The sequence below is a fragment of the Homo sapiens genome, chromosome 3 (genome assembly GCF_000001405.40).
Source record: "Homo sapiens chromosome 3, GRCh38.p14 Primary Assembly".
Taxonomy (NCBI): Eukaryota; Metazoa; Chordata; class Mammalia; order Primates; family Hominidae; genus Homo; species Homo sapiens.
The window spans coordinates 171,990,313-172,011,984 of NC_000003.12; the positions used below are offsets into that span (position 1 = coordinate 171,990,313).

A 21,672-nucleotide genomic window follows, 5' to 3' on the forward strand; every position below is an offset into this window, starting at 1 on the left:
CAGTTCCACATGGCTGGGGAGGCCTCACAATCATGGCAGAAAGTGAAGGAGCAAAGGAATGTCTTACATGGCAGCAGGCAAGAGAGTGTGTGCAGGGGAACTGCCCTTTATAAAACCATCAGATCTGGAGACTTACTCAGTATCATGAGAACAGCATGGGAAAATCCCGCCTCTATGATTCAATTACTTCTGACCAAGTCCCTCCCATGACACGCAGGGATTATGAGAGTTACAATTCAAGATGAGATTTGGGTGGGGACACAGCCAAGCCATATCAGTGTGTCTATGTCTTTTTGTCCTTTGTCTCCCAAATCTTCTGCCTTTTTCTTACTTATCCAATAAGTAAGTCTACATATTGGATTTAGGGCCAGTCTGATAATCCAGGTGATCTCTTCATATCAAGTTTCTTACCTGAATGGCATCTACAAAGACCCTTTCTCTCTTTTTTTTTTTTTTTTTTTTTGAGACCTATCTTGGTGTAATCTCGGCTCACTGCAACCTCCGCCTCCCGGATTCAAGCGATTCTCCTGCCTCAGCCTCCCAAGCAGCTGGGATTACAAGCACACACCACCGCACCCAGCTACTTTTTTATATTTTTGGTAGAGACAGGGTTTCACCATATTGACCAGGCTAGTCTCGAACTCCTGACCTCGTGATCCACCTACCTTGGCATCCCATAGTGCTGGGATTGTAGGCATAAGTCATCGTGCCCAGCCAATGACATATTCTTAAAGGAAAAATACGTAAGTGATATCTAGAAATCCTCCATGGAATACAAAAAATAGGTATTCTATGTTTGAGGAACTTAAAGTTCTCTCTAAATCTATATACAGTTGACTCTCATTATTCGAGGTGAGCATGTCCTATAAAGTTACTGTGATGTTAAGTTATTGAATGCTGAACCGTAGGGGAAATACAGGGTTAGGTTCCTGTGTGCCTCTGGTCACAACATTCTCATCAACCTTGTTTAATATATATCGGTGATTCATTAACATCAAAGCTATGGCCAGCAGCACTATAACTCATGTCTGAACAAAGTTTATCTAACGTAAGTATTTGCTCTGCAAGGCACATCACAGCCCTCTTAAGCTCAGGAACACTAGACAGCAATTCAGCATTACCCTTCAAGGCCATTTTACATAGTGAAATTCTCAGCAAAAAGCACAAAAAGGCAGACAATGTGGCACTAAATAGACTGCTAAAAAGACACTTCTTTACAGTATAAGAGCTGGAATAAGAAGGCAGAGTTTCACCTTGTTTAACTTCAGTTGAGAACATGTGCACCAGGCAACTCAAATTTTTTTGTCACTCTGCACATGTCTGTGACTGTCAGCAGTGTCAGGCGTATTGATGTGCTAGTTACAAATAAATTTTAGCAAGTAGGCAAATTTTCAAATAATGAGAACCAACTGTATCCATATAAAATCAAGCTTCAAGCTTCATGATTGTATTATTAAATTTCTCAATGTCTCTCTCTCTCTCTGTCGGAATTAGCCAATTCTGGTATTCAAATCATTTACTGTAATTTTTTTAAGTTATATTTCCAATAATTTTTAATTATATTTAGCTGCTATGTTTTTTATGCATATAAGGTTATAACTTTTATTTTCTTCATAAATTATGCTTTTATTATTATGCAGTATCCCTCTTTTTTCAGTTTACAGATTTTATTTTATTTATTTATTTATTTTTGAGACAAAGTCTTGCTCTTGTCCCCCAGGCTGAAGTGCGATGGCGCAATCTCGGCTCACTGCAACCTCCACCTCCTGGGTTAAAGCGATTCTCCTGCCTCAGCCTCCCGAGTAGCTGGGATTATAGGCGCCTGCCACCACGCCCGGCTAATTTTTGTGTTTTTAGTACAGACAGGATTTCACCATGTTGGCCAGGCTGGTCTCGAGCTCCTGACCTCAGGTGATTTGCCTGCCTCAGCCTCCCTAAGTGCTGGGATTACAGGCGTGAGCCACCATGCCCAGCCTTTATTTTATTTTTTATTTTTTGAGTCAAGGTCTTGCTCTGTCACCGAGGCTGGAGTGCAGTGGTGTGATCGCCACTCACTGCAGCCTTGACCTCCAGGCTCAAGCAGTCCTCCCACCTCAGCCTCCCAAGTAGCTGGGACTACAGGTGTGTGCCACAACACCCAGCTAATTTTTAATGTTTTTGTATAGGCAAAGGCTCACTATATTCCCCAGTCTTAAACTCCTGAGGTCAAGGGATCCTCCTGCCTTGGCCTCCCACAGTGTTGGGATCACACGTGTGAGCCACTGCACCCAGCCTCGGTTTAGATATTTTAATTTTAAATTCCATTAAATTTAAGTTTTATGACATTAATAGCACCAAACTTGCTTTGAGATTTTACTGTTTACATTTTTACATTTTATTGTTACCTGCCCTTTCCCAGCTCTCACATATAATCAAACATGTATTTTATTATATGAAAATAAGACACCAACTTTTCCCCTACTGGGAAATTGTATTACTCCACTGCTCTCCCCACCCATAACTTACAGCTTAAAGAAGACTTTTTATTGCAATTCTCTCCTCTCTCACCTCCAAACAGGTGAAGGCTTTGGAATATTTTTGCTTCCTTTTTTCTCATATCCCTCCTTACTACAATTCTTCAATTCTACTGAGGTGGTTTAATTCTTTAAATCCAAAGTTTTTATTAGAACTTTCCTTTTATATGCTCCTCTATTTCTAGAGTCTTTGTTTAGTACTTATGTTACACACTCCCAGCATATCATTGTCCATTTTTTTTAATTAGTTATCAAAAATTCATTGCTCATTACGGCTTTCGCTCTTCTTCTTTTTATTAGTTGTTGCTTTTATGAAGTTTTTTTTCTAATATTTTTCCCAGTTGAGTAAGGTTCATGACTTCTCTGAATCCTTACAAACCTTCAAATATCATTCTTTCACCCTTACAGGTGAAATATATCTTGGAGTCGAAAACGTACTCCACTGACTTCTAGCTTCCAATGTTGCAAAGGAGAAATTTCAGTACCAGTCTAATTTCTTTTCTTTTATAAATAACTTACAAGCTTATACTCAGAAAGAATGAGATTGTTTGTCTTTATCTTTGGAGTACAAAAATTTTATTAGGATATATATAGCCATAGTGCATGTATATATATAATCCTTTCTCAACATTTCTGCCTGAAACTTGGCATCTTTTCTTCAGTCCAGGTAAATCTTCATTTCGTTTGTTTTCATGCTTCATTTTCTTCTTCGTGCACATCATTTTTTCCTTCTGGAACGCCTATTGTTTGCATGTCGGTTCTCTTAAACCCCTCCTGCATCTCTCTACTCATGCTTTACTTTCTTTCTCTCTAAGCTTTGAAATATTTCTTGCATCCAGTTTCCAGGCTACTAGTTGGATTTCAAGCGTAACCATTTTCTTCACTATTGAACTTTACATTCAAAAGCTGTAAAATTTGAAATTGGAGCCTAAAATGCACCTATAATTCACATAACGACATTTTTAGAGGAAAATCTATGGAAATAATTGTTGCTATGTGTAAAAGTCTTGTTTTTAATATATAAATTAACATTTTAAATTTGCTTTTGGGAAAAAAAATGAAGAACAGCTAGATTGTGGTCCCATTTACAACTCTGTCCAGCATGGAGAAACCCCGTCTCTGCTGAAAATACAAAAACTAGCCAGGAGTGGTGGCGCATGCCTGTGGTCCCAGCTACTCGGGAAGCTGGGACAGGAGAATCGCTTGAACCCAGGAGGCGGAGGTTGCAGTGAGCCAAGATGGCACCATCGCACTCCAGCCAGGGCAACAAGAGCGAAATTTCATCTCAAAAAAAAAAAAAAAAACAGAATTTAAAAGTTCAAGAAATGCTGCTGGTCTGAAATATGCATTAAAAGCCACACCTTAGATATCGAACTCAGAATCTTGTTAAAAATCAACAAGAGATTGACAAACACTCAAGGTACAAATTACAACACTATAATAATTATTGAATATTGCCAAGTTGGAGAAGGAGAGAGAAGCAGAGAGAATAAGGAAATGTACACAATTTACATGAAGTGTTGAAAATCTTTGAAGTCCAGGTAATACCAGTTGATCTTATTAAAGCCACACCCTTTGAAATCACAACAGAAGCAGATGAATTTTCCAGAGCATAATTTTTAAGGAGAAAACCCTCTCTACATTTTTTTTATTATACTTTAAGTTTTAGGGTACATGTGCACAATTTTTAATGTTTCTGAGAACTACCACACACACATACTAAGCTATATACATGCTGTGACTATTTTTATTTTTAAGAGGGGGTGGCAGTCAAGACAATGTGGTTTCTTTTACAGGTAACACTACAATTCAATTTTAATGTCTTTTTCCCTCTCATGTCACCTTTATTTTTTGGTTCTTTTGAATAACAAGGAAAAAGATAAATCGAGAGTCATAAAGAGTTCTTTGGGGTAAACTGAGGGGATATAACCACCTAATTATGAATTTCCTGAATGTGCAACTTGACCAGCAGCAACTGGACGTGATTAGTATGGTGGGCCTCACCTCCAGCTGTTCTACAAAAACAAGTCAGTGAAGGATTTCCAAGGCACATTTTCCTCTGGACTTGTTTTAAGTTTAACAATGCAAACAGTGCGTGTTGCTCTTTTTTTTTTTTTTAATAGGTGACAGATTGTCAGAAAAGAAACAAGAGTTTTCTACAACAAAAAACTGGCTTATGGAACATATACTTCTGCTTGAGTTGAATGTGTTGGGCTGAGTGTAAGAAAATGCAAGCTGCAAATCTGTCTTACATGTGGAACCAAAGCTGGAAATGTGTGCTTTAGAGGCAACTGTAAAATTGTATTTCCTTCTGGCATATGGGCCAATGATTATGTTGTGTGAGTAATGCATAGATGTAATCCATGTGGTAAGCTTTGTGGATGAAGAAAATGTCAGTGTTATTGGCTGAGGCTTGGCAAGCATTAGCCATGTGTTTAGAAAAATTTACATGGCCTGAAACAATGCAAAAAATGTACTGTCCTGTTTGTCAGCTTGTGAACATAGCAAAAAACCACAGCACTCCCATCAGCACAAACACTGAGGGAGAAAATCTCTCTTGCTGTTTTCCAGTTTATGTTTATAGGAAAAGGATGTTTGCCTTACAACAAGGGGATTTATGCTTAATGGATACTAACTTTTACCAAATCACAAAATCTAAATAGGCATTTGTAGAATGAGAGATCCAAAAACTCTGGCAATATGATATACTAAGGGGAAAATCAGAAATCTTTATAGATTTTACTATTACTGTGTTCAGATCAATTTTTAATTGCTTTTAGCTATGGCTTCTTGAGCTTCAAAATAATTGTGGAATGTCTTCACTAAGTACACAGTAGCATAAATTCTACAGGATGTTGTACAGCTCTGTAGAGGGAAAAACCACCATGAAGATAAATGACCTTGGAGGACCCCATTAATCTTTGTAAATAGCAAGATGTTATTTAGCCATCTATTTTTTTCTTAAACCCAAAAGCATTTAAAAAACAGAATATTTAAGTTATAAAAGGCCTTAAAAGTGACCCAGAGCTGGCAGAGGAAGGGAGCCTTAACAATTGGTGGGGGAAACTGGGAGTGAGGGTGGATAGTACTCAAAAGGATGCTGTCTTTGACTTTAATTTCAAGGTATTACACAAATTGCCCTCAGATGTTTCAATCTCTTCTTTCACAGGGCTTCCTCTAATGTTTTTTCATCAGTCTTATCTGCCATATCAATATAATGGCTTTTAAATTTTTGCAAAGGGAACTTCTGCATCTACCTGTGAAGGATAAACTGATACAAGAATCACTTGCCTACCATAAACAACTAGAAAATAAGGCAAAATATATGAAAGGACAATTTTCAGATATTAGATATAAGGCGATGCAGAACTGAATTCCTGAATCTCTATCATTATCCTAGAGTACTGCCTTGAGGAAAATTCCAAGAAATAGCCAAAAGAAAATGAAGTCAGAGTCTTGTTCAGTTGAGGAAACAAAGATCAGTATGAGTAGGCCAAAGTAGCTATAACTTAAGGGCAGAGTTCAATAGAGAGAGAGCTAAGCAGCAGAAGGGGTCTAGAAATCTGCATGAGAGTCCCCTTGAATTTTTTGTGACTATCAATTTCTGTATGTGTAATGTGAAACTCTTTGTTGGGCAAGAAAATCTTCTGAGAAAAGACTAATTACTGAGAAACTGTAAAATGAACAATTCCCAGAAATCACACAGGATCAAAAACCTTTGTGGATGGAGTTTCCTTCATTCAAAGTGAAAAAATCTTGTTGAATACTTAGCCATTCAGTAGAGACTTGAAAAGTGTTATGCCTTAGAAGTGGGACTAAATTAGCTCTAGAATTTACCATTCTAAAACCTCCCTAAAAGAGTTTAGAAACAGGCCTCACAAGAGATCAAAAGTAACCTTCAAAAGCTAACTGCTCACGAAAAAGTCTTAACACTCATTAAAAGAGTACAACAAAATCCAGCACTAAACAATGTAAAACACACAATCTTAATCCAATTTTTAAAAATCATCAGACATGCAGAAAGTAGGAAAATGTGACCCATAACCGAGCAAAAATTTAGTAAATGGAACCCAAAAATGACAGAGATAATGGAATTAGCAGACATGTATTATAGCTATTATAAGTATGTGCTCACAAAGATATAGGAGAACATAAATATAAGGAAGGAAGAAAAGAAAAATATTTTAAAAGTCTCAGCACTTCTGAAGATGAAAAATATAATATTTTAAGTAAAAATTTCACCTAATAGGATTAACAACAGATTAGATACTGCAGAAGAAAAAATTAGTGAGCTTGGTGACTGCAACAGAAATAATACAACATGAAGCAGAGAGAGAGAAAAAAACTTAAAAAAAAAAAAATCCTTAGTGCCTTGTGGGACAATAACAACCGGTCTAACGTATGTATAATTTTGCCAGCCAAAACTTTTCCAAAGTTGATGAAAACTATAAATCCACAGGTACGAGAAGGTCAATGAACCAAAAGCAGAATAAATATTTTAAAGATGTACCAAAGAACAACATAATCCAATTACAGAAAACCAGTGATTTAAAAAGTTAAAGCAGACTGAGGAAAAAGGATACATGAGTAAGAAAGATAACAAATAAAAAAATGTAAGCAGATTTCTAGTCTTTGCAAGCCATTATGACATCTTCCAATGATGAAGGAATTAAAGTCAACTAAGAATTCTATATAGAGCATAAATACCATTTGAAAATCAAGATAATATATGAACTTTTTTAGCAAAACAAAGGCTGAGCTAATTGGTTGCCAGCAGACCTGAACTATAAGAAAGATGAAAAGAAGTTCTTTGGGCAAAGGGAAGATGACAGAAATTTGAATCTACACAAAGAAATGAAAAGTGCTGGAAACAGTAAATGTGTAGATAATATAACGGATTTTCTCCTCAATTTTTATTTTATTTAAAAGATAATTGAGTATGTAAAGCAAAAATGATAATGTGTGTATATCAATTTGTTTATAATATCTGTAGGAGTAAATATGTGTCATCAATAGCACAAAAGAAGGAAGGGAAAAATGGAAGATTATAAGGTTTTTACTCTATTTGTGAAGTGTTACACTACTATTTCAAGATACTATAAGCTAAAGATGCATATTGTAAATCCTAGAGAAATGCCATTAAAAAAAAGAGATACAGGTAATAGGCCAATAGTAGTGGTAAAACGACACTCTAAAAAAAGTAGTGAATCCAAAATAATCCTGAAGAGGTGAAAAAAAGGAAGAGAGAACAAATGAAACAAATAGAAAACCAACAACAAAATGGTAGATTTAAACCGACTGTATTGATAATTACATTAAAAGTAAATAGTCCAAATGTGTCCGGAATTGGTGGGTTCTTGGTCTCACTGACTTCAAGAATGAAGCCTCGGACCCTCGTGGTGAGTGTTACAGCTCATAAAAGCAGCGTGGACCCAAAGAGTGAGCAGTAGCAAGATTTATTGCAAAGAGTGAAAGAACAAAACTTCCACAGTGTGGAAGGGGACCCCAGCAGGTTGCCAATGCTGGCTCCGGCAGCCTGCTTTTATTCTCTTATCTGGCCCCACCCACATCCTGCTGATTGGTAGAGCCGAGTGGCCTGTTTTGTCAGGGCGCTGATTGGTGTGTTTACAATCCCTGAGCTAGATACAAAAGTTCTCTGCGTCCCCATCAGATTAGTTAGATACAGAGTTTCGACACACAGTTTCTCCAAGGCCCCACCAGAGCAGCTAGATACAGAGTGTCGATTGGTGCACTCACAAACCTTGAGCTAAACACAGGGTGCTGATTGGTGTGTTTACAATCCCTGAGCTAGACATAAAGGTTCTCCAAGGCCCCACCAGAGCAGCTAGATACAGAGTGTGGATTGGTGCACTCACAAACCTTGAGCTAAACATAGGGTGCTGATTGGTGTATTTACAATCCCTGAGCTAGATATAAAGACTCTCCACGTCCCCACCAGACTCAGGAGCCCAGCTGGCTTCACCTAGCGGATCCCACACTGGGGCTGCAGGTGGAGCTGCCTGCCAGTCCTGCACCGTGCGCTCGCATTCCTCAGCCCTTGGGTGGTCGATGGGACTGGGCGCCGTGGAGCAAGGGGTGGTGCTCGTCGGGGAGGCTCGGGCCGCACAGGAGCCCATGGAGTGGGGGGGAGGCTCAGGCATGGCGGGCTGCAGGTCCCGAGCCCTGCCCCGCGGGAAGGCAGCTAAGGCCCGGCGAGAAATCGAGCACAGCGCCGGTGGGCCGGCACTGCTGGGGGACCCAGTACACCCTCCGCAGCCACTGGCCCGGGTGCTAAGTCCCTCATTGCCCGGGGCCAGCAGGGCTGGCTGGCTGCTCCGAGTGCGGGGCCCACCAAGCCCACGCCCACCCGGAACTCCAGCTGGCCCGCAAGCGCCGAACGCAGCCCCGGTTCCTGCTCACGCCTCTGCCTCTACACCTCCCTGCAAGCTGAGGGAGTGGGCTCCAGCCTTGGCCAGCCCAGAAAGGGGCTCCCACAGTGCAGTGGGGGGCTGAAGGGCTCCTCAAATGCCACCAAAGTGGGAGCCCAGGCAGGGAAGGTGCCGAGAGCAACCGAGGGCTCTAAGGACTGCCAGCATGCTGTCACCTCCCACAAACACTCCAAATAAAAAGCAGAAATTGTCAAAGAGGCTAAAAAAGCAAATCCCAGTTAGGGTTCCTTAGTTCCCCCCACTATTTTCTCTGTCCTGGACGAGAATAGAGTGCCCTGACAGCTCTGAGAGTCAACCAGCAGCATGTGGTCCCCTGTAGGCTCAAACCCAAGCAAGGGCCTTGATCGTTCCCTGTTGAAACTGTTTAGTTGATGTTCAACAACACTGAGAGACTAATGTTAAACACAAAGAAAACTAGCCCTCACCTTGAGCCAGGTTCCTTAAACTCTCATATAACTCCATAACCCACCCTCTTCATGGCAAACATGTCCTACCTAGGCAGGACATCCTTTGTCTCACTGTCTGTCATAAGAATATACTGTAGCTGGCTGGGCGCTGTGGCTCACACCTGTAATCCCAGCACTTTGGGAGGCCGAGGAGGATAGATCACCTGAGGTTGGGAGTTCAAGACCAGCCTGACCAAGATGGAGAAACTCTGTCTCTACTAAAAATACAAAATTAGCTGGGCGTGATGGCGCATGCCTGTAATCCCAGCTACATGGGAGGCTGAGGCATGAGAATCGCTTGAACCAAGGAGGCTGAGGTTGCAGTGACCCAAGATCGTGCCACTACACTCCAGCCTGGGCAACAAGAGCGAAACTCAGTCTCAAAACAAAACAAAACAAAACAAAATATATGCTATAGCTTCCTTCCGAGGTAAGTTCCCCTAATAAATGCTTTAGACTGATTACTCTCTGGCATTTAATGCTTCTTTCTTTGAAATTTTAACTGGCCAGTTTGGGACACTCACTTGTGGGAACTTTCCTGCTGCCACTTTTGGGTTACTCTACTGTAGGTTTGGCTGACCGAAACAATCCAATTGATTTTTTTATAAATGTTTTATATATATATAGTATGTATACAATATTATATATATTTATATATTATATATACCATGGAATATTATTTAACTATAAAGAGGAATGACATTCTGGTACTTACTATGACCTGGATGAACAGCTTTTTTTTTTTTATTTTGAGACAGCATCTCACTCTGTCACCCAGACTGGAGTGCAGTGGTGTGATCTCGGCTCACTGCAACCTCCACCTCCCGGGTTCAAATGATTCTCCTGTCTCAGCCTCCCGAGTAGCTGGGATTACAGGTGCCTGCCACCATGCCCAGCTAATTTTTGTATTTTTAGTAGAGGTAGGGTTTCACCATGTTGGCCAGGCTGGTCTCGAACTCCTAAACTCAGATGATCTGCCTTCCTCGGCCTTCCAAAGTGCTGGGATTACAGGCGTGAGCCTCCGCACCCAGCGGATGAACCTTGAATACATTATGTTAAGTGAGATAAGCCAGACACAAAAGGACAAATATTCCCTGTATATGAGATACCTAGAATAGGCAAAATCATAGAGACAGAAGGTAGAATAGAGGTTACTGGGGCTGAGGGTTGGAGAGAGTGAGGAGGAGTTATTGCTTAATAGGTACAGAGTTTCAGTTCAGGATGGTGAAAAAGTTCTGGAAATGAATAGTGGTGATGATTGCACAACAATGTGAATGAAGTTATTTTTACTAAATTGTACACTTAAAATGGTGAAAATGGCAAATTTTATATTATATATATTTTACCACAATAAAAAAATTTAAAAAGCAAGACTCAAAAATATGCCACCTACAATAAACCCATTTTAAATATAAAGACATAGATAATTTTGAACAGAATTTTTTTAAAAACCATATAGTATACTAACTAATAAAAAATAGTTGAAATGGCTCTATATATTAGACAAATTAGAATTCAAAACAGTGAATATTAACAGACACTAAAAAGTACATTTTATAATTATTACAGGGTTAATTCTTGAAGAAAACGTAACAACCCGAAATATTCATGCACTTAAAAATAGAGATTCAAAACACATGAAGTAAAAATTAATTAGATGGAAAGGAAAAAAAGACACATCTACAATTACAGTGCTCAAAACTCCTCTTTCAGTATTGGACAGAATAAGCAGACAGCACTGCAACACTCACAACTTGAACAACACTAACATCACGTTTAACACTCCACTAACAACAATAAAATACACATTCTTTTTAAATGCTGATAGAACATTCACAAAGATAGATAATGTTCTGTCTTAAAAGAAGTCTCAGTAAGTTTAAAGGCATTGAAAACATACACTATATATTCTAAACCCAAACAAAATTAAATTAGAAGTCAATAAGAAAAATATTTCTGGAAACTCACCCAGTATTTAGAAATTAAACAATAAACAATACATTTCCAAATAACTCACAGAAAAAAACACAGAGGTAATTAGAGTGGAACCAATCCAACTGCCCATCAATCAATGAGTGGATAAAGAAACTGTGGTATACATATATATGATGGAATACTACTCAGCCATAAAAAAGGAATGAATTAACAGCATTTGCAGCAACCTGGATGAGACTGGAGACTATTATTCTAAGTGAAGTAACTCAGGAATGGAAAACAAACATTTTATGTTCTCACTGATACGTGGAAGCTAAGCTATGAGGATGCAAAAGCATAAGAATGATACAGTGGACTTTGGGGACTTGGGGGGAAGGTTGGGAGGGGGGCGAGGGATAAAAGACTACAAATGGGGTGCATTGAATGCTGCTTGGGTGATGGGTGCACCAAAATCTCACAGATCACCACTAAAGAACTTACTCATGTAACGAAATACCACCTTTACCCCAATAACCTATGGGAAAAAATATAATAAATAAATACAAACAAAGAAAATCACAATATATTTTAAACTGAATAAAAATGAAAACACAACATACCAAAATTTGTAGAGGACACCTAAAGGAGGATGCTGAGGGAAATTTGTAACTTTTTTTTTTTAAGACAGGGTCTCACTCTGTCACCCAGGCTGGAGTGCAATGGCACTGACACAGATCACTGCAGCCTCAGCCTCCCAGACTCAGGTGATCCTCCTACCTCAGCCTCCCAAGTAGCTGGGACTACAGGTGTGTGCCACCACTCCTAGCTAATTTTTCTAATTTTTTTTTCTTGTAGAGACAGGGTTTTGTCATGTTGCCCAGGCTGGTTTTGAACTCCTAAACTCAAGGAATCCTCCTTCCTCAGCCTCTCAAATCGCTGGTATTAGAGACATGAGCCACTGAGCCTGGCCAATGTGTAACGTTAAATGCTCAAATAATCTAAGAGTGTACTTTAAGAAACTACACAGAGAAGTAATAAAACCCAAAGTAAACAGAAAGAAAGCAGTGATAAAGCTAATAGCAGAAACAAATGAAAGAGGAAATCAGCGACATCAAAAACTGTTTTTGTTTTTCTTTTTACAAATGAGCATCTGTAAAACCCTATGGCTAACATTAAAATGATGGAAGATTATATGCTTTTCCCTTAAGACTGAGTAAAAAGCAAGGATGGCTTCTCCTTTCATTTCTATTCAACATCATTCTGGAGGTCCTAGTGAGTCATTTAAGTCCAAAAAAAAAAAAAAAAAGAAAAAGAAATAAAAGGCAAACATTGCAAAGGAAAAATTAAAGCTGTGTTTATTTACAGAGAACACAATCGTATAGCTGGAAATGTTAAGAAATCTTCAAAAACAACATTAATTCTAATAAGTGAGGTTAGCAAGTTTACTGGAAACAATGTCAATACACAAAAAATCAACTATAATACTATTAACAATTAGAAATTGAAGTTTTAAAATACCACTGATTACAGCATAAGAAACATAATATATTTGAAGATAATTTGAACAAAAGTGTACTAGACATGTACGTTGAAAACTACAAAAGACTATTAGGCCAGGTGCACTGACTCATGCCTGTAATCCCAGAACTTTGGGAGGCCAAGGCAGATGGATCAGTTGAGGTCGGTTCAAGGCCAGCCTGGCCAACACAGTGAAACCTCATCCCTACTGAAAATATAAAAATTGGCTGGGCATGGTGGTGCATGCCTGTAATCCCAGCTACTCAGAAGGATGAGATTCAAGGAGAATCGCTTGTACCTGGGAGGCAGAGGTTGCAGTGAGCTGAGATCACGTCGCTGCACTCTAGCCTGGGCCGCAGAGCAAGACTCCATCTCAAAAAAAAGAAAAAAGAAAACTGCAAAAAACTATTAAAAAATTAAAGAGGGCCAGGCTCGGTGGCTCATATCTGTAATCCCAGCACTTTGGGAGGCCGAGGCGGGTGGATCACCTGAGGTCAGTAGTTCGAGACCAGCCTGGCCAATATGGTAAAACCCCGTCTCTACTAAAAATACAAAAATTAGTTGAGCGTGGTGGCATGCGCCTGTAGTCCCAGCTACTCAGGAGGCTGAGGCAGAAGAATTGCTTGAACCCCAAAGGCAGAGGTTGCAGTGAGCTGAGATCGTGCCACTGCACTCCAGCCTAGGGGATAGAGTGAGGCTCTATCTCAAAAAAATAATAATAATAATAATTAAAGAAAACCTTTATAATCAGAGAGACATACAGTGTTAAATTGTTTATCAATATTATGATGACAATTTTCCCCAAATTAACCTATAGATTCAATGTAATGCCAATCAAAACCCCAAAAGACTTTTTGTTTTGAAGATGACAAGCTGATTATAAAATTTGTATGGAAATGCAAAAGATCTAAAACAGAAAAACTATATTGAGAAAGAAAAACAAATTTGGGAGACACATTATCCATTTTCAACATTTACTATAAAGCTACATTAATCAAGATGATGTGCCAGTATAAAGATAGACATAGAAATCAATGGAACAAAATAATGAGTCCAAAGGTAGGCTCACAAATAAACTATCATTTGATCCAAGATAATGCAATAATAAAATAATTGTACTTTTGACAAATGATGATGGAACAATTAGATTTCCATTTGCAAAAATATGAATCTTGACCCTTACTTTATACCATATTTAAAATTTAGCTCCAAATAGATCTAGGTCTAAGTATAGGAGCTAAAGTAATGAGACTTGTACAAGAAAATCTTTGTTACCTTTAATTAGGCAAAGACAGTGTTTAGATAGAATGCAAAAAGCATGAACCATAAAAGAAAATGTTTGATAAATTGTTTTGTCAAAATTAAAATCTTTTTATCTTAAAATGATATCATTATCATTAAGAAAATAAAATTCAAACCATGGATTTTAGAGAAAATAGTTGAAAAACATCACCCTGGTAAAGAACTTCTATGCAGAAAATAGAATCGTCACAACTTATTAAGAAGACAAACCACTCATGAAAAGGCATAACATTTCAACTGACACTTCACCAAATAAGCTATATGAATAACAAATAAGTTTAAGAAAAAATGTTGACTATCCAAAATCATTAGTCATTAGGCAAGTGCAAGTTAAAACCATGATATACCACTATATACCTATGAGAAGGGCTATAATTTAAAAAGACAATACTAAATGTTAGCAAAGGTTTGGAGCAACTGGAAATCTCATACATTGCCGGTGAAAATGTAAACTAGCACACCCATTTTGGAAAAAAGTTTTGCCGTTTCTTAAAAAGTTAAATATGCAGCTGGGTGCAGTGGCTCACACCTGTAATCCCAGGACTTTGGGAGGCTGAAGTGGGCGGATCACTTGGGGTCAGGAGTTCAAGACCAGCCTGGCCAACATAGTGAAACCCCGTCTCTACTAAAAATACAAAAAAGTGAGCCAGGCGTGGTGGCGGGCACCTGTAATCCCAGCTACTTGGGAGGCTGAGTCAGGAGAATCACTTGAACCCGCTAGGTGGAGGTTGCAGTGAGCCAAGATCACGCCACTGTGCTCCAGCCTGGGCAACAGTAGGAGACTCTGCCTAAAAAAAAAAAAAAAAAAAGTTAAATATGCACTTACTATGTAACCTAGCTATTTCACTCATAAGTATTTACCCAAAAGAAATGAAAATTGATGTCCTCAAAAACATTTGTACATGAATGGCCATGGCAGCTGCAAGATAAAATTTGGAAAAAGGCTTTGTCCATCAACAAATGAGTGGGTAAAAAAAATGATATATCTAGTCAATGGAGTATAACTGAACAGTGAATAGAAATGAATAATTGATACATGCTATAACAGTGATAAATCTCTAAAACATGCGGAGTGAAAGGAGCCAGACATAAAATGCATGATTACATTTACAAGAAATTTTAGAAAAGGCAAAAGTAATCTAGAAAGACCAAAATCAGGTTAGTGGTTGCCTCGGACTGGGGATAGGAGTGGGTTACTGGAATGAAGCAAAAGGAAACATTGCGGGGTGATGGCAACGTGCTGTATCTTGGAACAGTTACATAGATGTATTCATTTGTCAAAATTCATGAAAATGTATGCTTAAAATAGGTGCATTTTTGGCTGGGTGCAGTGGCTCATGCCTGTAATCCCAGCATTTTGGGAGGCCGAGGCGGGTAGATCACCTGAGGTCAGGAGTTCGAGACCATCCTGGCCAACATGGTGAAACACCGTCTCTGCTAAAATACAAAAATTAGCCAGGTGTGGTGGCGCATGTAGTCCCAGCTACTCGGGAGGCTGAGGCAGGAGAATAGCTTGAACCTAGGGGCCGGAGATTGCAGTGAGCTGAGATCATGCCACTGCACTCCAGCCTGGCAACAGAGAGAGACTGTCTCAAAACAAAACAAAACAAAGCAAAACAAAAAATTAGCCGGGCGTGGTGGCACATGCTTGTAATCCCAGCTACTTGGGACGCTGAGGCAGGAGAATCACTTGAACCCATAAGGCAGAGGTTACAGTGAGCCAAGATCACACCATTGCACTCCAGCCTGGGTGACAAGAGCGAAACTCCGTTTCAAAAAAAAAAAGGTGCATTTTTATTGTGTGTAAACTATACCTCAATAAAGTTGATTTTTTTTTATTGCAAAAGCAATAGTTTTAGAGAATGTGCTTGAAATTTATCCCTCCACTGGCTTGACTATCTCTCTCTCTCTCTTTCTTCCCCAACTACTCTTTCTGCCCAACTTCTACTCTCAAGTCACAGCCTTCTTTCATTTGCCGGCTCTCCAAATATTTGGAGAGATCTCTATCAATGGTGTCCTTCACCCACCCCCTCCAGTAAAGCCTCCTCACCTCCAGTTAAACATCGCCAGCTCTTTAGCCATTCATATTTGCTGTAGTTTACACTCTGATAAAAGTAGGGCTGGGGGCTGGGTGTGTTGTCTCATGCCTGTAATCCCAGCATTTCGGGAGGCCTAGGTTAGTGGATCATCTGAGGTCAGAAGTTCGAGACCAGCCTGGCCAACATGGCAAAACCCCATCTCTACTAAAAATACAAAAATTAACTGGGCATGGTGGCGAGCGTCTATAATCCCAGCTACTCCAGAGGCTAAGTGGAGAATCGCTTGAACCCGGGAGGTGGAGGTTGCAGTGAGCTGAGATGGCGCCATTGCACTCCAGCCTGGGTGACATAAGAGCAAAACTCCGTCTCAAAAAAAAAGAAAGAAAAAAAAAGGCTGGAAAGGCTCCATGGCTTGTGCAGGAAGGCATGATCTGGAAGAGCTGTGAATTCCCTAAACACAGGGAGAGTATTCAAAGGGCTGGGCAACCAAAACAAAATAAACAGAACATACAAGTGTTTACAGAGGTCTACATGCAACGCCACAGAAGCCATGGGGAAGATTTTGCATCCTCCTAAGTAAGTTTTAGGAGAGAAGAGATAGGATCTAACCCAGGATGGTTTTTTTGCTTTGGGCCCAGAGAATTTCTTTCAACTAATTCCCTCCTTTGCTACACACATCAGGGTACTAGTATTCAGGCAGCTCCATCACCCTTGACACAATTTCTCTGTTCAAATTTCCAGCATTCTCTGAAGCACAATATCTTTAAAATCACTTGTACATGTTGTTTGTTTCATCCCCTGTGGTCTCTTCCTTTCACCAGCTATCCTGATCTCCACTGAAGACTATTTAACTTGAACAGGTTACTCAACTTCTTTTCCTCAGTTTTCTCACTTGTGAAATAGGAAAGTGTTGCTGTGATGATTAAATGTATTAATATATGTCAAATCTTTTAATATTTCCTGGCTCATAGTAAGCTCCCTTAAGAATTCCTGTTATTATTTCCCCCAAAGATAAAGAGAAAAATCTTACAAGCTCCCAGATAGAATAAGTTATTTGTAAAAAAATAAAATAAAACTGGCAGTGAAATTCTGCTGTTGGAAACAGTAGAAAGTGCAAGGCAGCAGAATACATTTTCATCCTAAAAATCTTTCGACCCGTTGCTATGTATTTTACTTGTCAGAGTGAAAGACAGATAGTGTTACCGAAATGTGAAATGTAGTCCACTACATAGTAAGCACTCTGTAAGTTATTATTATTATTATTATTATTGTTGTTATTATTATTATTATTATTATCTAGGGCCATGATCAGAGGCTTTAAGTCTATCTTCCTGGATCCGTTACTATCTTCAGCTAGCATTCCCCACATGGCATTCACCACCACTCAGCCCAGCCCAATCTCCTCTCTGTTCTTTCCCACTTAACATTGTAATTATTCCAGCACCAGGAAGCTAGGAAGGGTCTCACATCTCACCTAAGTAAAGGGAGTATCTATCCCAATTTTTCTGGCTTTATGTTAGACATCAACAGATTTTAATTAAGGGAGCAGAAAAAAAGAAGATAATTTGCCTCCCCCTCCAAAATCTTAGGAAATGTAAGAATCCTGGAAAATAACATATCTTCCCTGCTTTCATTTAATTTTTTTAACTCCTAACTATATCAAAAAGGAGTTCATACAATTGAAAAGTTCATTATTTTGTGATTGATTGGTATTATTTCTAGTAGCTACCCCATTTGTTGATTCAATTTATTTCTTTATAAACCAAATTATGGGCCAGGCGTGGTGGCTCACGCCTGTAATCCCAGCACTTTGGGAGGCTGAGGTGGGCAGATCACAAGGTCAGGAGATCGAGACCATCCTGGCTAACACAGTGAAACCCTGTCTCTAGTAAAAACACAAAAAAATTAGCCGGGCATGGTGGTGGGTGCCTGTAGTCCCAGCTACTCAGGAGGCTGAGGCAGGAGAATGGTGTGAACCTGGGAGGCAGAGGTTGCAGTGAGTGGAGATTGTGCCACTGCACTCCAACCTGGGCGACACAGCGAGACTCCATCTCAAAAAAGAAAAGAAAAAAAGAAAAAAAAATTATGTTATTGCCAAATTTGAGATTGTTTATGAAAACTGCAATTCTTTTTTTTTTTTTTTTTTTTTTTGAGACGGAGTCGCGCCCTGTCACCCAGGCTGGAATGCAGTGGCACGATCTCAGCTCACTGCAAGCTCCCGCCTCCCAGGTTCTCGGCTTTCTCCTGCTTCAGCCTCCTGAGTAGCTGGGACTACAGGTGCGCGCCACCACACCCGGCTAATTTTGTGTATTTTTAGTAGAGATGGGGTTAAATATCAAAATCCAGATCTTTTTTGAGGAAGAGGAAAGGGTTAAAAAGCTAAAATATATTTGCCAAGAATTTTATCTGAATTTCTGTTCACAGCACTTTAAGAGAAAAAGTATTTCTTATGTTTCTGATTCATTTATGTTTGAATCATCAAAAAATTTTAATAGCTATTTGATATTCCACTAGCTTTTGAATCCTTTACAGCTTTTTAATGCCTATTTTTTCTCTTCATTAAAAACGTTTTGGTCTCTTCATGGGTTTCATCTGTTGTACGTGTGCCTTATATTTTAACCTACACTTACTTATCAAATTGGGCTACTGCTTGAACAGGCCACTTTCATCCCAGGACCCTTGCATGGGCACTTTTCTCTGCCCAAAATGCTCTTTCTTAGATACCTTCAGGCTAACTTTATCTCCTTTGTTTAAAAGTCACCATTTCAATGAGGCCTACCCTCACCACCCTATTTAAAATTATAAAAATCAGATTTAATCTGTGACAGCACCCACGAGCCATTATGTAAATTAGCCCCAAAATATCCTAGCCAAGTAAAAAACTTGGAATCCAAAAATGTTAGAGGGACCTTGAAGTAATTCTAGTATAAATTTCTCATTTTACAGTTGAAGCCCAGCGATGTTAAGTGGCTTCCCTCAGATCAGACAAGTTAGATTCAGAAATACTCATCGTATCTAATAGATGTCTCACAATCAGCATCCGAATCTGTTGTCCAAAACTGAACTCGTGATATCCCCATAATCTTGCTCCTCCCACGGCCTTCCTTGTCTTGGATCATGGCAACACCATCTTTGTAGTTCCTGGGGCACTAGAATCATCCTGTCTCCCTTTTTTACACACGATCATAGACAGATGTCAACAAATCTAGTCTGCACTACCTTCAAAATGGATATAGAATCCTATCACTTCCTACCACCTCTACATGTGCCACAGTTGTCCTAGGCACCATATCTTACTCTTAGGTTACTGTGATCGTTTCCTTGTGTCTGCTCTTGCCCCTAAAAGGCTATTCTCAAGCACTATTCAGTGTGACTGCTTTAAATCATGCCATTCTCAGGCTCTGCTGCAAAGCCTGCAATAGCTCCCTGTTATGCTTGGGCACTGCCTACAGAACCTTTCACCAGCTGGCCTCCCATTTCCCCTGACTGTATCTGCTACGACTCTACCTTTTGTTCACTACACTCTAAATACAATCATCTCTTTGCTATTCCTTGAACAAGCCAGGCACACACCCACCATGTGGCCTTTTATTGGCTCTCTCCTCTGCTCTTGGTTATTCTCATGGTTAACAGCACCTCTTCTGTTCAAAAGACCCCTTCTCAATGAATCTATAGTAACCTCGTTCACAATTGCAAACTGCCCATTTACACCTCAGTAACGTGTGATTTCTCTGAACCTCTTCTATTTTTCTTTTTCTTTTAGAACATATCACCTACAAAGATAGTATCTCATTTACTTATTATTATGTTTATTTATTATGTCTCTTCTCTGTAATAATGTAAGTTCCACAGGGTGAGAATATTTGTGTTTTTTTATTTTTTATTTTTTTTATTTTTTATTTTTGAGACGGAGTCTCGCTCTGTCGCCCAGGCTGATATTTGTTTTATTATTGTATGCCCAGTACCTAGAAGAGTGCCAGGCATGAAGTAGGCATTCAATAAATATTTGTTGAAAGAAAGAGAGAGAGAAGACAGGTCTCTTGTTCCTCAGATATGTTGCCATTACAGTGTCTTACATGGCCTACACCAAGTGGACACAACTCACTTCACTGAGGAAAACTAAACAAAACAAAGCAAACAACAACAACAAAAAAACTTAAAAAGCTAAAAACAAGGGAGGCCTTGGGCAAAACCAGGCATTAGGTAAGACTTGCTTTTCATACCCCCTCCTATGCCCTTTTCATCAGGCAAATCTCCAGCTCTAGTTCTCTTATTTTATTCTGAATATTTCTAGTCAGCTATTAATTTAAGTCATATGAATGTTCTGACTGTAGTTTTGCTTCCCAATGTACTACACTTCCCTAGGTTACTTATACTTGAAGAAAGAAAAACAGCAGGAAGAGGCAATACTTAGCCCAAAGCAGTGAGTGTTTATTGGTGAAATTCTAGGCAGTATGGTATGGGGATGGTGGGAGAAGTCTCAATTGCCCAATGTAAGGATGTGTTTACTTTGGGTAAAATTAGCCCACTAGTATGTATTTGCCAAAATATTTTTAATAGATGCAAAATAAATTGAAGAAAAAATTACAGAACAAATGCAAAATGGAAATCACTTCTGAGCTCACATATGGCAATGTCAATGATCTGGTTTAAAAGAATATTCCCAGTAAAAGGTTTATGGAATTTAAGAAAGTATAGTTTGGAATAAACTTCTAATATTAAAAAAGCAAAAATTATATTACAAAAATTCAGATGTTAATTTGCAGTGGAGGGAGAAAGGAGTTAAACTGAAGTATGATTATATAGGAGACAAAAGCTGAGACTCGTCTGGTAAACAATTAAGAATTGAATCAATTTTTCAGATATTTTAGGCAAAATTGTTCTCTATTGCATTTTTTACCAGCCTATAAAGCATCATAGACCAGGTCAAGTTAAATACAGGCAGACACGACACAGAAGAGATCAAATTGATGCAAATGCTTTAAGAAAATAGATTTGGCCGGGCACAGTGGCTCATGTCTGTAATCCCAACACTTTGGGAGGCCAAGGCAGGAGAATCACGAGGTCAGCAGTTCAAGACCAACCTGGCCAACATGGTGAAACCCCGTCTCTACTAAAAATACAAAAAAAATAGCTGGGCGTAGTGGTGGGCGCCTGTAATCCCAGCTACTCTGGAGGCTGAGGCAGGAGAATCGCTTGAACCCAGGAGGCGGAGGTTGTCGTGAGCCAAGATCGGCGTCACTGCACTCCAGCCCGGTGACAGAGTGAGACTCTGTATAAAAAAAAAAAAAAAAAATTAAAAAGGCCGGGCGCAGTGGCTCACGCCTGTAATCCCAGCACTTTGGGAGGCCAAGGAGGGCAGATCATGAGGTCCAGAAATCGAGACCATCCTGGTTAACACGGTGAAACCCCGTCTCTACTAAAAATATAAAAAAATTAGCCAGGTGTGGTGGCGGGCGCCTGTAGTCCCAGCTACTCGGGAGGCTGAGGC

At 39.4% G+C, this 21,672-nt stretch overlaps 1 annotated feature.

Annotated features, from left to right (window-relative positions):
- Positions 19,523 to 20,036: an enhancer, noted in NCBI's record as "NANOG hESC enhancer chr3:171727625-171728138 (GRCh37/hg19 assembly coordinates)". NCBI's record gives its function as "activates a minimal SCP1, AML or CMV promoter by ChIP-STARR-seq in primed H9 embryonic stem cells {active_cell/tissue: H9 hESC(primed)}" and the evidence as "EXISTENCE:reporter gene assay evidence [ECO:0000049][PMID:30033119]".